The sequence below is a fragment of the Homo sapiens genome, chromosome 11 (assembly GCF_000001405.40).
Source record: "Homo sapiens chromosome 11, GRCh38.p14 Primary Assembly".
Taxonomy (NCBI): Eukaryota; Metazoa; Chordata; class Mammalia; order Primates; family Hominidae; genus Homo; species Homo sapiens.
This window is the reverse complement of record NC_000011.10, coordinates 20,957,437-20,974,280: the sequence shown is the minus strand read 5'-3', so window position 1 is coordinate 20,974,280 and position 16,844 is coordinate 20,957,437. Positions and strand designations below refer to the sequence as shown.

General features: G+C 38.9%; 1 protein-coding gene across 4 annotated transcripts in view, besides 1 other annotated feature; it reads right to left on the bottom strand.

Moving 5' to 3' along the window:
- NELL1 (neural EGFL like 1) overlaps window positions 1-16,844 on the bottom strand; it is a 906,136-nt gene that overhangs the window by 601,406 nt on the left and 287,886 nt on the right. For all 4 annotated transcript variants that reach the window (NM_001288713.1, NM_201551.2, NM_001288714.1 and 1 more), the window contains one exon: window positions 13,721-13,849. In NM_001288713.1, the coding sequence (NP_001275642.1) occupies window positions 13,721-13,849 (129 nt within the window). The remainder of the gene's footprint in view (window positions 1-13,720; window positions 13,850-16,844) is intronic.
- Window positions 7,342-7,908: an enhancer, noted in NCBI's record as "OCT4-NANOG hESC enhancer chr11:20987919-20988485 (GRCh37/hg19 assembly coordinates)". NCBI's record gives its function as "activates a minimal SCP1, AML or CMV promoter by ChIP-STARR-seq in naive H9 embryonic stem cells {active_cell/tissue: H9 hESC(naive)}" and the evidence as "EXISTENCE:reporter gene assay evidence [ECO:0000049][PMID:30033119]".

The window sequence follows — 16,844 nt, the reverse complement described above, 5'->3', positions numbered from 1 at the left end:
TGACACAAATGTTAGTTTTCCTTTTTTAGCAAGAAAAACTTATCAAACACCTCGGAGTGTCCCACCTCATACCACCAGCTGTTCATTTATTCAACGAATACTTACTGAGCACCCACTCTGTTCCAGGAACTGTCCGAGGTGCTAGGGAAAAAACAATCTGCAAAACAGGCAACAATCCCAGTCTTCATAAGGCTTACATTCTGGCACTTGTAAAGAGAATGCTCATTTCCATTCCTTCCTCCCGAGCCTAAACAAGTAAACTTATTCCTTTTTCAGTCAAATGCAACACATGACTTCACACAATGCTGGAAGCATCAACACGTGAACTATAATCTATCTGACAAACCAAGTTTCTTTAGCTGGGCTCAGAAAGTTCCCATTAGAGTTTTGAGGAGCCAGGTGTCAGCATCAAAAGACAAAATTCAGCATTCGGCAGTAGCAGGAAAAGTGATAAAGATCCAGAAATGAATGGGAAAAGTCCCTGAATCTCTATAGCAGCTCCTTAGAAACTGTTAGCTAGCACTGGGCTTTCTGTAAATCCTTTCAATCCTAAAAGGAGGACACGAGGTTTCTTATAAAGATGTGCAAGCTGTAACTGGAACACATTTCAAGGTGGCTTTTTCCAACTTAAAATTGGAAAGAAATTAACAAGATATATCTATGAGATGCCAAATGTCAGTGGGAAGAATCCATAGAGCACTAAAGTTTATCCATGGAATCACATTCTTCTACCTTCATTTATTCATCAGTTCATTCAGAAAGTAACTAGTATATTACAGGTGCTAGGCTGCGGATATAAAGATGAATCAGAAACAGCTCTGGCCTTTGAATAGCTCTTAACCTAAAAAATATGTTAAGAAAAAGTAACGAAGAGGCTGGACGCAGTGGCTCATGCCTGTAATCCCAACACTTTGGGAGGCCGAGGCAGGTGGATCACCTGAGGTCAGGAGTTTGAGACCAGCCTGGCCAACATGGAGAAACCCCATCTCTTCTAAAAATACAAAATTAGCCAGGGGTGGTGGTGCATGCCTATAATCCCAGCTACTCAGGAGGCTGAGGCCGGAGAATCATTTGAACCCAGGAGGTGGAGGTTGCAGTGAGCCGAGATTGTGCCATTGCACTCCAGCCTGGGCAACAAGAACAAAACTCTGTCTCAAAAAAAAAAAAAAAAAAAAAAAAGTAATGAAGATCCTGTTTGATAGGCACTCTAATAAGGTTTGACAAAGTGCTACTAGAACCCAGAGGAGGAAGCCTCAAAGTCAGCCATTAGAGTTTGATTTGATAAAGATGAAATAGCCAGTGATTCTAAATTCATTTTTCATACAATATCCAATCTACTCCTCACACCCAATCAATGGATCCTATGGGTTTCACCTCCTGCCCACATTTTCCATGTCCACCATTGCATCTTGTCTGGACTGCAGCAGCAGACTAACAACTGATGTCCCTGATTTGCTGCTACCTTCTGTCCCCCACTGAAACCAGAAAGATTTTTCAGAAATACAAACTGGATCTTATCACCTCTTTTAAAAATCTCATCAACATTTCATTTCCTACTGAATCCAAATTTCACAAGGCCTACAATGCCTCCCAATTCTTTTTCTCTCTGCGCTCAACACTCTCAATCTCCCACACTGAGCTCCAAACACACTAAATGCTCTTTTGCTTTTTGGTAACTCCAGGTTTTCAGTCACACTGCTCCAAACTCGTACATCAACCTCCTCCCTTCTCAGCCTCCCTCTAGTTTCTAATTCTATCTCATGCTACGGTCTCAGTGTGAATTTCCTATACCACCCCACACTTCTCCATCAGACATCCAGCATTCATCATAGTCACTGTAGTCCTGATCTTTCAACCCACCCCCTCTTGACTGGTATCTTTCCTGCTAACTCCAAGAATTAGCCCTCCCCTTCCTAACTACTCATTGACACACACCCTGAACAATATGTTTTAGGACTTACTTATATCTTATTGAACTTTATTATATTCAAATTTAACTAACACCTATTGTGTGCTGGATTCTGCCTTAAATCTTTTCATTCCCCTTAGTTCTTATAGCAATTTATTTTTATTTTAATTTTTTATTTTACTTTAAGTTCTGGGATATATGTACAGGTCGTGCAGGTTGGTTACATAGGTATACATATGCCATGGTGGTTTGCTGCATTTATCAACCCATCGTCTAGGTTTTAAGCCCTGCATGCATTAGGTATTTGTCCTAATGCTCTCCCTCCCCTTGCCCCCCACCCCGCTCCCCAGCAGGCCCCAGTGTCTGTTGTTCCCCTCCCTGTGCTCATGTGTTCTCATTGTTCAACTCCCACTTATGAGTGAGAACATGCGGTGTTTGGTTTTCTGTTCCTGTGTTAGTTTGTTGAGGATGATGGCTTCCAGCTTCATCCATGTCCCTGCAAAGGACATGCTCTCATTCTTTTATGTGGCTGCATAGTATTCCATGGGCTATATGTGCTACATTTTCTTTATAGCAATTCTTTAAAAAGACTACTTAGATAAGTATTAGCACACTAATTTTACAAAGGGAAAATGATGAGAGATGAAGTTCCCTGCTTAAGTTCACAAAACAATGATAAAGCCAGGATTTCTAAGCCAGGTACCCCAAATCTAAATCTAAACTTTCCACTAAACCTGTGTTATTCTTCTCTAATTGTTTACCCAGGCAAGCTTCGCCAGGAAGCTGAGTCACGGCAGGCAGTAACATACCAGCTGCAATAACAAGAGTACAATAAAAACTGAGTGAGTTCAATTCTCATTTCTGTCTGGATATTAGGTTTCTTAGAGATAGTTGAAAGGTATTATTTTTAAATAACCAAAAAAGTTTAAAGCGACTACATTTCTATTTCCATTTAAAGCTCTAAAACTTGGACTTGTCCCTGAAAAGCAGGGACGTTTTTCCCTTCTGTTTTTTTCTTCTTCTCTTCCTTCTTTTTGCTACATAAAAATGCTAAGCACTATAAATAACATAATTTATGCATAATGTCTTTCAAGGAGATATGCTAAAGTCCTAAAATATTATTAAGTGAGCCAAAAAAATGTCTCAGCATGATTTTTTAAGGTGAAGGTACATCACTAAAAAATAATGTAAGGCCATACACATAGGCTTGGCTTCTGGGCACCATCCAGCCACAAGCAGAGCAAGATAGATTCACCTGGAAAAATGCCAGGTATCTGAGTTATCAGAGGGAAGACATGATCAAGAATCAGATGCAGCCTGACTGCGAGAGTTTGGGGACAGACACAAAGCAAGGCCATGCAAGTTCATTCTTATGACCTCAACGATGCTTTATCTCCTTCTTACCCATCATAGCCATGTTTGAAAATTCATCGAGACAACAACTATTTCATTGAGGATGAGATGAAAATAAGCATAAATAAAAGTTCTAATTTTTTTTTCCATAACCCAATGGATCCAGTTTTGCACCCACTGTGATACCAGCATCCTATATGTGTATATACTGGCCCACAAAAAAAAAAATTTAGACTTCTTAGCACATTCAAAATGCTTTTCCCCATCCAACTATCAACCATATCTTTACTCTCATCTCCTACCAAAATCCTTTGGTCCAGCCATGTCAAACTTCTCACTTTGAGCTTTTGTATCTGCTGATCCCCCTACTGAGAATGGCCTTCCTGCATACCTCTTCTTGCAGAACATCTTATTCTTAAGAACTCCGTTCAAATGTCACTTCCTCTGGGCAGCCTGTGCTGACTCCTATTGGCAGAATGTATTGCTCTCACCATTGTATTCCTACAACACTATTTAAATCCTAGGATAGAACAAATCCTATTGTAATTTTCTTATCTGATACAAGGCTCTTTTCCCCCTTTTAAACTGTTAAGCTCCTTGAGGATACGATCTATGGCTTAATCATCTTTAGCCAACACAAGACCCAGCCACAATAGATGGTCAATTAATTTTCACTTAAAGAATGAGACAAGACTCTGGGCCTGACCCTTTCCTTTATGCCTTTCGTAGGGCTGCAGTGTACAACCTTGCAGACTTTATACTGCATAATTCCAGCAGCTGCCACTCACCTAGACAACTACATAAATGATGCCCCATGGAGTTGTACAACACAGAAGCCCCACTTTTATAAAGCCCACAATGACTCTACACAAACTATGGCTCAATATACATGTTGGTAGATATATCTCTATGTTCAGAGTACGGATGGATGGATGGATGGATGGATGGATGGATGGATGGATGGACAGAGAGATAGATTAGATATTTATATACGCCATGAAGATCTAAAGACCTGTGTTCTAGTGTTCTAGAACAAATACTGCCAATGACTAAAATAATATTGTTGGTATAATAATGCATGATAATATAATTATAAATAATGTTACAATACATAGCTATGCTGCTTTAGCCTTTGCAAAATGCTTTCACATTCAATATCTTATTTAGCTTCCACAACCAATTGGTAAAGTAAGGCCTTTATTTTGGCCTTGTTGAAAAGTCCTGTTTAGATCATGAAAGAAACCAAAACACACAAGAATTGGGTGACTCTCCAATGTTACCCGGCTGCTAAATGATAGAGTCAGGATCCATCAAAATCTTCTTGTCCCTATTTCAATGTTTTTTGCTTTGTTCTTTACTACATCACTCCCCTGAGAGTTGTCAGGGGAAAAAAATGGAGGGAAGAAAAATGTTAGAAAACAGAAATATTTGAGGATAGCTGACCACCAAGACCAACTCCCAGGCAGAGACAATCTGCTTAGTCCTCTAAGCAGTTCTATCTTCCATGTTCACATTACTTTAATTTTTACTTTCTTTTGCTATGTTGCTTGGAATTTAATGGTTTGAAGACTCTCTTAATTATAAAGCATCCTCTTTAAAGAATACATTTACCTCTGGTAGTGTTAGCTGGATATCAATCATTTACAAATGTGTGTAAGCTTGTTCCATGAATTGCTTTCTTTCTAGCACAAAACTCAGAACTGCAGCACAGGGGAAACTGTGAATTTTGCTTGGAGAGAAAGGAGATGGGTCACCTTGAGACATAAGGAATATTGAGGATAGAATAAATCCAAATGAGATGATACAGTGGGGGGCACAGGGAAGCCTGGAGATGATACAACAGGAAAGTGAAAAGGGCATGGTTAAGTAGTCAAATCCTATCTGGTCTCCAAGTGAGCAAGCTTCAGCACAATCAACTGAAGCTAGAACTCATTTATGGGAAAAAGGAAATAAATAAAAAGTAAAACGCTTATAATTAATGAGGAGATTTTTTTCATTAAATAACTGGAAAAGCTGGCAAGATCAAAAAGCCACTCACCAAAACAGATTTTTCTTTCCTCCTGGGAACACAGCTAGACGAAATTTACCAACCCCTCTTGCAGTTAGATAGAGCCACCATCTGAGTTCTGGCCAGTGAAATGTGAACAGCCCTGGCCCATAAAAACCTCCCACTGGTAACCTTCCATTCTTTTCCCCTTCCCTGGTGACCTTGAGAGGCACATACTGCCCATGCTAGGACCACAAGAGGAAAGGAGCCAGGGTCCCTGAATCATGGTTTTGAGGGGAGCCACGTGTTAAGCTGGAACATCCATTTGAAAATCTATAGAAAACCAATTTTCTATAAACAGCTGATAAAATGATTTTTTGAAAAACCATTATCTTTTTATCAAAATGAAGGGACAGCTACCCTCTTGTCATGTAGTGAAGGAAAGGCATTCCGTAGCAAATAAAGGCAGTGACGTTCATATGAAATAAAGTTAACACACAGCGTTTCACCATTACATGAACTGAGTATTAGCAAAAGTGGGCAGAAGCAGCCCCTGACCTACAGACTCTGCACTTTAAAAAGCAGCCCTTGAGCAATGCTAGTAAAATGAACTTGACATAAGAAAACAGTGTCAGATACAGAAAAGCACTGTCTTCCTTCCTTCCTTCCTTCCTTTCTTTCTTTAAGCAAATGTTTGTGTGTCTATAATGTACCATGCACTATTTTAGGTGCTAGAGATAGTGAATAAAATAAAATTGCTGCCCTCATGCAGTTTATATTCCAAAGGGTCAGATAATAAAACTTTAAACAGAAAAACACACATAAGAAAACAACACAATTTCAAAGAATAAGTGCTACAAAGAAAATACATTAAATCAAATTCAAATGGTATAGGGGGTAACTGATGATAGCAGCAGAGCTAATTTAGCCAGCGTGGTTAGGAGAGATCTTTCTAAAGAAGTGGCATTTGAACTACATATTGAACAAGGCCTGGAAAGCAGATTTGGAAAGATCTGAGTGAAGGGCCTCCCAGGTTGAGGAAAGAACTACTGCACAGGCCTATTGGAGGGATGCAAAGAATTCCAGTGTGATGGGAAAAGAGTAAACACTGGAGAGAGTGAAACAAGATGAATTTGGAGAAGTAGGCAGGTTCCAGTTCACATAGGGCCTGACACAGGACCAAATTTGGGTATTATTCTAAGAGGCATGGGAGCTATGAGACAAATTTCAACAGGAGAGTAGCATAATCTGCTTACACTTAAAAAGCTCACTTTAAATATGTTTGAAGATGGACTATGGTGGGCAAGAGTGGATGCTACTGGGATCACTAGCCAAAAGATAAAGGAAGCTTGGTCTAGGGTGGTAGTGGTGAAGACAGCAAGACATGAGTGAATTTGTGATTAATTTTGGAGGTAAAGCTAACAGGACTTTCTGATGTAGCAGATGTTGGGGATAAAGAAAAGAGTGGAATCAAGGATGATGTCTATGTCTTATGACCTGAGCAACTAAGTGGATGTACCCTTACCCGAAATTGGGAGAAAAGTACCTGATTCTCTGTTTTCAACACCCTGGAACTCAGGATATCTTTGTAGTACAATACTTCAGCTACATGAAGATCGTGGTGCTACATAGATCATGATGTTCACACATTTTATAAAATGCAAAATATTTAAATGTAAAAAATGTAAAAAAAAAAAGTTACCTAAGTATTGGAATAATTAGAAGCATAATTAAGCAAACTAGCCCATTTCTCCTATACAATCTCTTAACTAAGAATTTGCAGGGTCTTGTTTCCACAGAAGTTCATTCACACGAGTCTCTGTGTCTAGTAAATACCTATGCCCTGGGCTTCTATGAACTGGCCTGAAAACCTAATCAATGCCTACACCACTTCTGTCACAAAGAAATAACTAAAATTTCTGCATATATCTTGCAAATAAATTTTTGAAGCATGAAGCGTGGTAAAAAATAAATAAAATAAAACAAAACAAAAACAAAACAGTGCTATTTGAAGTTCCATCCTGACCATTGCCCCGGTTAGTTTGACTGGGGTTCATTCCTAAGGGCAGAGCTTAGGAATTTACCCCTTCTTTTAACCCTAGGTGAAATAACCAGGATTTGAATTTGAACTTTATTTTTCTTTGTGTTATACTTTCAAGAAGAAAATCGTGTGTGTGTCGGGGCAGGGGGCGGCAGGGGGTGGGGAGGTGATGGTTAAGAAGATTTCAAGTGGGTAGGAGAGCAGGAATAGATGCACTTTGGCTAAGTAGCCTAGGAAATAACAAAGCAGAGGCAGAGAAAAGCCAGGCCCAGGAACAAGGCTCAGCTGCATCTCCTGCTGGGAGGAAGATGACATGTTAGTTATCCAGAACAAAGCAAAGGCTAGGAATCTCTGTGCCTTGGAAAGGGGAGGTGGGGATTGACAGATACCTGGGTACTGGAAGATCTCTCCATTAGTGAGGCAGGCTAATGAGAAAACAGAAAAGAAAGATACCCCAAGGTATTCTTATCTCAAGCATTCTGAATATCTGGAAATAAATGGGAGCAGGAACTAAGAATTAAGGTTTTGCTGACAATGACCAATCAGAAGAGGCTTTTGATCTCTACTATGGTTTGAATGTTTGTCCCCTCCAAAATTCATGTTGAAATTTAGTCACCATTGTAACAATATTAAGAAGTGGAACTTTTAAGAGGTGATTAGGACATGATGGCTCTGCCCTCATATAAAAAGGCCAGTTCTGCCCCCTCTTGCCCACTTCTTGCTCTTCTGCCTTTCACCTGTGATGATGAATCAAAAGGGCCCTCACCAGATGCTGGCACCTTCATTTTGGACTTCTTAGCCTCCAGCACCATGAGAAAATAAATTTCCATTCTTTGTAAATTACCCAGCCTCAGGTGTTCTGTTACAGCGGCATGAACGAACTAAAGCAATGCTTTGCTGTCTAAAGTAGAGCTTTAGGAGACTGAAGCCCACACTTGAGAAGAAACTGGGCTATGTAGATCATGATGTTCACACATTTTATAAAATGCAAAATATTTAAATGTAAAAGAAGTTACCTAAATATTGGATAATTAGAAGTGTAATTAAGTAAACTAGCCCATTTCCTCTACACAATCTCTTAATTAAGAATTTGCAGGATCTTGTTTCTATAGAAGTGCATTTACATTAGTCTCCATGTCTAGTAAGTATCTACCCACTTAGGTATTCTGTGGGCTGCGTTCTGTTTGAACTCTGATCTCTCTACCACTTTCCCAGCCTCTTACCATTCTAAGGGTCAGACCCTTCACCACCACCTCTAGTCATATGAAAGAAGTTATAAATCACCTTGCTAATCAGCTGCTCTGTTTCAGACATGTCAGTTTTGTTACATGAAATTACTAAATTCATACCAATTCAGGTCATTTTTTTCCAAAATATTTCCTTGAATACAATTCCACTTGTGTTTTTCCAAGGAAGGAATGAGTTCACCTATACATTATTAGGCTTAGTGCCCCACTGCTAACAATATGCACCTGGAAGAATTGATGAACCCTAGTCCTTCCATCTAAATGTATTCTCCCCTGCTACCTGCCAATTTGGTCTCTTTCTCTTTCTCAAAGTATTGGTCTCAATGAGCACACACTCCTGCAAATTCCAAGAAAGATCCTCATAAACATTAATGATTTAAGTAAATAATAATGGTAATAATAACTGTGATCTATTCAATATTTAGTGAATACCAGACAATTTGCTAAATTTCTGACATGCACTGTTTCATTATCATCTTAATTGGGAAATCCATTTACCATGTTGAATTTGGCATGACAAAACATTGCTTTATAACTTGTGGTCTGTAAAAAATCTGTTGCTTGGCAGCAGTGCCAGAGCAAACTCCTGATGACTCAACAATTTGTACCTTGGTAACTCTCAATGCTTGCTCTATTAAAAACTGCTTTCAGTTGTTAGCTCTGAATTTTGGTATCCTTCTGAACCCACAAGAGTTGGATCCATTAATTCAGGGAGACATATCGTAGGCTTACGCTATTACGCACAAGGTAGCATAACTCCCCACCCCCAAATCCTACCAATGTCAGTGGCATACAAGATTATTTCTCACTCATGCCACATACCCATCACCTGTCAGTTGTCACACGGTTCCATGTCATCTTCATTCTGGGATGTCAGCTAAAGGAGAAGCCCTGACCTGGAACATTGCCAGTTTTTGTTTCAGAGAGAAAAGAGAACGATGTGGAATTCTGCAAAAGCTCCTTGAGGTTCTACTCTGAAACTACATGTCACGTCCACTCACATTTCATTAGCCAAAACTGATGTCGGCAAAATCGGGAGGGCAACCAACATTTTGAACACTAGCACAGTATTGGAACAGTGTGGGTAGTGGAAGAAGAGGGAGCATTTAAGTCAGGCAGAAAGCTCTAGAGTAGAAATGAGTTGAGGATCATCTTTTTACTTCATTTCTCTGAATCCTCTTGTCTGTACTCATAAAATGGAGTTAATGTGGCCAATGCCGCAACTTTCTCAAAGATTCATTGTAACGTTCAAAAAGTGTAACATATATAAAAGGAGTTTGAAAAATTTAAAACACTCTGCAAGTAAAAGGTATTATCATTTAATGTTAATTGTAGTGCTTTCCACACCTGACAGATGGCATGATGTGTATGATATTACATTGTTCTTTATGCTTCTAAGTAACTTTTTATCACAGAAAGAAAAAGTTTATGAGACTCTATCTAGGTAGACTCCAAATTCAAGAACTAAGATCATGAGTAGGGCCCCTATTGCTATACTTTCCTCAGACACTACTCCTAATGCATCAGAAACTACTTAAGACCAACCTGTTGAAAATGTCATTAAAAAAGGAAAAAGCCTCAGCCGACAAGATTCCTAAAACATTAAAATCCAACTAGAGCAGTTTTCAAAATGGAGAATGCTCCTCCTGGAGTCAGAAAAGGCAAAATGAAACAGCCTCCTGTGAATTGTATCATAGCTGACAAAAGGTCTTATTATCTTCTATTGATTGGCCAGGAGTTCAGCTATCTTCTCTACGGCAGTTTCTACGACAATCTCTACAGAGCAGGAGCCAATATGCCACCTCTCTGCTTCTACCTTAGGAAGTTAAGAAAATTGAAAGCCTTTGGTGCTTCCTTTTCCACTGAGAGCCTGAACAGGCTTTTCAAGATGGCCTGGACAATGTGTGTAATATTTTGTTTTAATTTGCAAGCCAGTCTTGTTCACTGTGGTTTTTATCGTATGAGTCATTTTCATCCCATTTACTCAGAGTAAAAATAACTTGCTTCAAGCAGCTCATAAGTATTTACTTCTTTCTAGGCTGTGGAGAGACAACGAATGAAGCCTCAGAGAGTCTCTGTTCCTAGGAGGGCATTTGGCCATCTGTAAGCTTGTCTACCCGATCACTTCAAAGGGCAATTCTTAGGAGAGAGCTGGGGAAATGGCCTGCATGACCATTTATCTCATTTAATTCATCTAAATGTAATCATAAAAGAATGGTTGCTAAAACCCTATTTTATTGAATAGGGTTAAAACCCTATTTTGTTGTAACCAGCAAAGCTCTTTTGGTTTCAGGAAGACAAACCTCTCCTCCAGCTCCAGGGAATAAACACAATTAGCCCAAAGCAGTGATGGCCATCTCATTCTCCTTTCTCAAACATCGGTCTAGAAGTGTGTGTGTGGTGAGGATAGAAGTGGTGTAACCTGGGTCTGAAAAATAACACAGGGGAAGTCTTCTGCATGTGGTTATGGTGGTAATAGGGGTAGAGTTGGGGAATGACTTTCTACGAAGGACTTTCTTTGAGCATAAAATGACAGAACCTCACACAGACAAGGTTTTTAAGCCCTGCCCCTTCCTCTCTTCCTTGCTTAGGATGCTGCTGTGAGGGTACCATTCTTAGAGCTATGGAAGTCATCATGCAATCACGGAAACATAGGCCCAAAGATCAAAGTTCAAATGCTGAAGATGGCAGAAGGAATGCGAGAAAGGCATCTGCTCTAAATGTTGGCATTCACTCTACTGGGTTCTCTGTGCCTCCCAGCCGGATGCCCAGTATTTGACCCCTGCTTTAACCCATGAGCTATGTTCCTACATGCTAGGAGGGGTCCAATGTTTAGCCATTTCTCCTTAGGTGCTATCCTTCTCTCCAAGAACACATCCCCTGGAGCTTATGGAAAGTCTCCATACAACAAGGAAATGACTGAAGCCCAGTCACATTGCCATTACCCAACCGCAATAGCACCACAATGCATACTGGCCTAAGGCCAGGCTCATACACTGAGCTAAACAGGAGCATGCCCAAGAAAACAGTGATTCAGACCTAAAATCCACTCAGCATTATAAAATAAGGCCTCATAGAGAAAGATCAGGTTGATACTGCAGATGGCTCCTCATGGAGCCAGTCTTTTGTAATAAAAAATGACATCAATGAGAAATGAATCAAAGAATCCCAAACAGCATTAGCACCAGCAGTTTTGTCTCATATTCTGCTGGGTCTCAATAGAGAAGTGGGGTCAGGAATGGTGGCTATGCTGATTTCAACAAACAACTAAAAGGTCTGCCAGTGGCGTAATCAGGATTCACATTGTTTTTGAGGTTTCTTCTATCATTTTTATAATTGTTCGACGTCTATCCCTGCATATAGGAAAAGGTAAGAAGGTAAATATTTTAGACCATTATGTGGCTTACAGGATTTTTCCATGGTAAATAGTGGGAATACTCACATTTTTAATTCTTAAAATTACTTAAATTTTCTGATAGAAAATAGCATAAGGGAAGATCTAAACATAAATATTAATATGAAGTATTGAAATTGATACTCCCATCACCCCAAATTAACAAATAACTAAGATGTATTAAAGGGCAGATGAAAAGGTTCATAAGCAAAGGGACAGTTTCATTCTCCCAAGTGACATGTCTCCTTAAAACTTCAAATCCATAAAACAAGCCAAAAAAACAGTGAAAAATAAGAAGACAAAATTATTATATATTATTAGAATATATTGTTAATAAAAATTATGGTAGTAACAAAGAAAGTCTTCCAGAAGAAATGAAAAAAACAGAGGGTTCCTACAAGGTACTGGTCTCTAGTAGTAATAAGATATATCCTCTTGATAACTAGAGGTCTTTAGTCAAAGCCAAAAAGTTAAGCAGGGATTAACAATATATAGTCATTCCTGGGTATATGCAGGGAATTGGTTCTAGGCCCCTGTGTATACCCAAATCTACACACACTCAAATCCCAAAGTAGGCTCTGCAGAATCCACTCTATAGGAAAAGATGGCTCTCCCATATAGGCAGGTTTTGCATCCCATGAATTCTGTATTTTTGACTTGTGTCTTGTTGAAAAAAAATCCATGTATAAGTCAGCATGCAAAGTTTAAACCCGTGTTGTTCGAGGGTCAACTATGAGATAGAGAATAGAAAGAATTTACCATTACTATCATCAGTTAATACTGTCTTTACCTTTAGAATACCTGACCTATCTGAGAGCCAGACCACTTAGAGGAAAGTGACCAGGAATTTGCAGCATTCATTGAAGACAACTACCCAAATCATCATGGTGCAAGGTATTATTAATGAAGACAGCAGGAATAATTGGAATCAGAACAAACAGAAAAATAGCCCAGCCATCACTTTGCTTATTAAAGCTTTTGCAAACTGATGGAAGGGAGCCATGAGCACGTTGGAAATGGATGGGCTCAGATATTATGGTACTATACATACAGACCAGGTCGAACTAACTCCCACTCCTCTGGCATGTTAAGGTAATAGATATATGCAATGCTCACCACTAGCAGGTTGCAGTACTAAGCCTGAAAAAACGGTGCTCTCTTAAGACGGAGGAGTTGCTTTCTCTAGAGCAGAAATGTGGGTCATTGATGCTTGAGGCCACCATCCCACTGTAATGGCATCAGCCCATGTGCCAAAGTTATGAGTCCCTCCATTACTGTGACTTTTAGTAGAGATTGGGAATTGGCAATGCATGAACCAGTCACGAAGAAACCCACTAAAAAGAATAAAAACCTGATCTTGTCAGGTCAAGGAGACAGCAGCCTAGTATGAGTTAATGTCAAAGTATCATTTGAAAACAGAAACCACCCTGTACATTTAATTAAATATGAAGATGGCAATCTCATCAAATAAGAAAACAGAATATGATGTGTCTATGGTTGATCTAGTGATTGTTATGTGCACAGCAGCAGAACATGGGATTTGATATGTCCCTGTTGCCTTTGCTTCTTTGCCGTGCTTCATAACGACCTTCAAAGGTCTTGCTTTCTCATGCTACTGAGCAGCATGGATAAACCAGGAGAACAGAGAACCCTCAGCAATTGATATGATTTCTTATAGGATTGCATAGGACCACAGCCAAGTGATAGTTTTCACTCTTTAACCACATCTACCAGGCATACACTTCTCAGTCAACCTCTCACAAGTGACTTCATTAAATAGCTTACTTACCTTCACAGTAGGCAGAGTCTCCCTGGACAGAGATGTAACCACTCTTGCACTCACAAGTAGCTTTTGTATTCCAGTTTTTGCACTCTGAGTTTTCACCACATTTAGGTCCTTCTGCACAAAAGTTATGACCTAGAAAAAACAAATAAAAACGTACATCAGAAAAGGAGGAAATAAAGTAACTCCCCAAAATAAAGTATGTAACATTTTTTATTATATGTCACTATGCAGGAAAATACACTTTGGCAGTATGCACGGATAAACTGGATAGGAAAGTGGCAGAATAGATATAGGAAACTTTGGGCTGTCCAAGGCGTAAGAGGCTTTCCCCCACCCATACTCAAATTTGCTGAGGCTGTTCCTACCTGAATGCTTTTATCCATGCTGATCCTGCATCCTCTTCTCACTACATTCTTACATGACTACTCTTTTTATAATTTTGTTTTCTTGTAAAATTTATAATACAAAGAGTAATAAAATTAATATATATGAATATATAAAATAAAATGAATACAACCAGATTATCAAAACTCCTTAATTGTACCTCCCCAATGAATCTCCCTCCCAGCCACTAGAGATAACTATCCTCAATTTTGAGCTAATCACTCCCTTGCAGCTTTTTATAGCTTTACTTCATATTTGTGTTTATGCCTAAACAATATACCATTTAGCTTTGCCCATTTTAAACTCCATATGAGGGAAATCTTACTGTATATATCTTCTATGGTATGCTTTTTTAAAAAATATTTCATATCCATAGGTTTTGGGGAACAGGTGGTGTCTTGTTACATAAGTTCTTTAGCGGTGATTTGTGAGATTTTGGTGCACATATCACCCAAGTAGTATACTCTGCATCCAATTTGTAGTCTTTTATCTTTCAACCCCAGGCACCTTTCCCCCTAAATTCCTAAAGTCTATGATGTCATTCTTATGCCTTTGCATCCTCATAGCCTAACTCCCACTTATGAATGTGAACATATGAGGGTTGGTTTTCTATTCCTGGGTTACTTCACTGAGAGTAATAGTCTCCAATCTCACCCAGCTTGCTGTGAATGCCACTAATTCATTCCTTTTTATTGCTGAGTAGTATTCCATCATCTATATCACAGTTTCTTTATCCACTCTGATTGATGGGCATTTGGGTTGGTTCCATGTCTTTGCAATTGTGAATTGTGCTGCTATCAACATGCACGTGCAAGTGTCTTTTTCGTATAATGAGTTCTTTTCCTCTAGGTAGATACCCAGTAGTGGGAATGCTGGATCAAATTCTACTTTTAGTTCTACTTTTAGTTCTTTCAGGAATCTCCACACTGTTTTCCATGGTGGTCGTGCTAGTTTACATTCCCACCAGCAGTGAAGAAGTGCTCCCTGTTCACCACATCCACGCCAACATCCATTTTATTTTTAGTATACTATGGTGTGCTTTTCTCTATTCATCCATGTGAATGCCTTTAGCTATGGGTTCATTCATTCAACAAAGGATTTAGAATATTATATAAACTTAGCTGACAAAGCAGGAGGATCAGCACCAATTTTGAAAGACATTCCAGTGAGTAAAATGCCATCGGACTGTACTTTTAAACACATTGGGAAACAAAAATAATTTGTGTGACTCATTTATTGCAATATTCGCTTAATGGCCATAGTCTGGAACCGAACCCACAATATCTCCAGGGTATGCCTATACCATGGATGGACATTTGAGCTATTTGCGGGTTTTCACTGAGAAACAAAGCTGCTAAAAAACCTTCTTAAACATGCTTCCTGGGGCATATTCTCTAGCCACATGTTCAACATTTTCTTAGCTTAACAGTCTTTCTTGTTCCCTGCTACTTCTTCCAAGAAATTTTTCTTCCTAATATAGCCTTTAGAAGTTCCTTCAGTATCTTTTGATAGTGACTGTGCTCAATTTCAATTTGTCTAAATGTGTCTTTAGACTATCTTCATACTTAAAAAATAGTTTTACTGGGTATACGGTTATTTTATCTCAACATTTTAAAAATGTCATTCCATGTTTTCTGGCTTCTATTATTGCTGCTGAGTCACTTATTAATCTAATAGTCATTCCTTTACATGTGGCAACCCCTTTCTCTGTGGATGCTTTTAAGATCTTTTTTATTTGTGTGTTAGCTTGGGTTTTGTTGTTATTTTGAGACAGAGTCTCACTCTGTTGCCCAGGTTGGAGTGCGGTGGCACAATCGTTGCTCTTTGCAGCCTCGGCCTCATGGGCTAAAGTGATCCTCCCACCTCGGCAACTGAGTAGCTGGGACTAGAGGTGCGTGCCACCAGGCCCAGCTAATTTTTTTTTTGGAGAGATGAAGTCTCACTATGTTGCCCAGGCTTGTCTCAAACTCCTAGGCTCAAGCGATTTCCCCACCTCGGCCTCCCAAAGTCCTGAGATTACAGGCATGAGCCACCACACCCAGCCTTGTTGGGGTTTGTTTGTTTTGTATTTTTCAGTTTTAATCTAAGATATGTAGGTATAAATGTATTTTTATTTAGGATTTGGGGAGATTCTTGAATCTGAAAGATGATGAAATCTTTCATCATTTTGGAAAATTCTTAGATATTCTCTCTTCAAACATTCCCTTTCCACGTTTTTCTCTATTTTGTCTTTGTGGAATTCCAATTAGATAAATGTTCTTTCTTCTCAAGCTCTCATCTGTGTTATTTAGACTTGCTTTCATATCTTCTGTTTCTTTTCCTTTATGGTGAATTCTGCATCATTTTGAGATGTATCTTTCAGTTTATTAATTCTGTCTTGAGGTGTGTTATATTCTCTTTCAGTCACCCACATCATTTTTAATTTCACTTACTGTATTTTTATTTTTAGAATCCTATTTGATTCTTTTTCAGTCTGCTTAGTCAAATTTGATAGTCTCTTATTCTTTCATTTTTTTAAATTTCCTTTTTAAAAAATGTCTTTAAACATGTTACATATAAATATTTTATATTGATAATTCTAATATCTTCAGGCTTTGCACATCTAATTTTGCCATTTGTTGTTTATGCTGAATAGCATGCATGATAGCTTATTCTCTTGTGTTTTGAGTTATTCTTTTATCTGTAAGCTCGTATTTTTTGGAATTTAATGTGTGAGATTTGAGGTTTTGGTTTTTAAACTGCA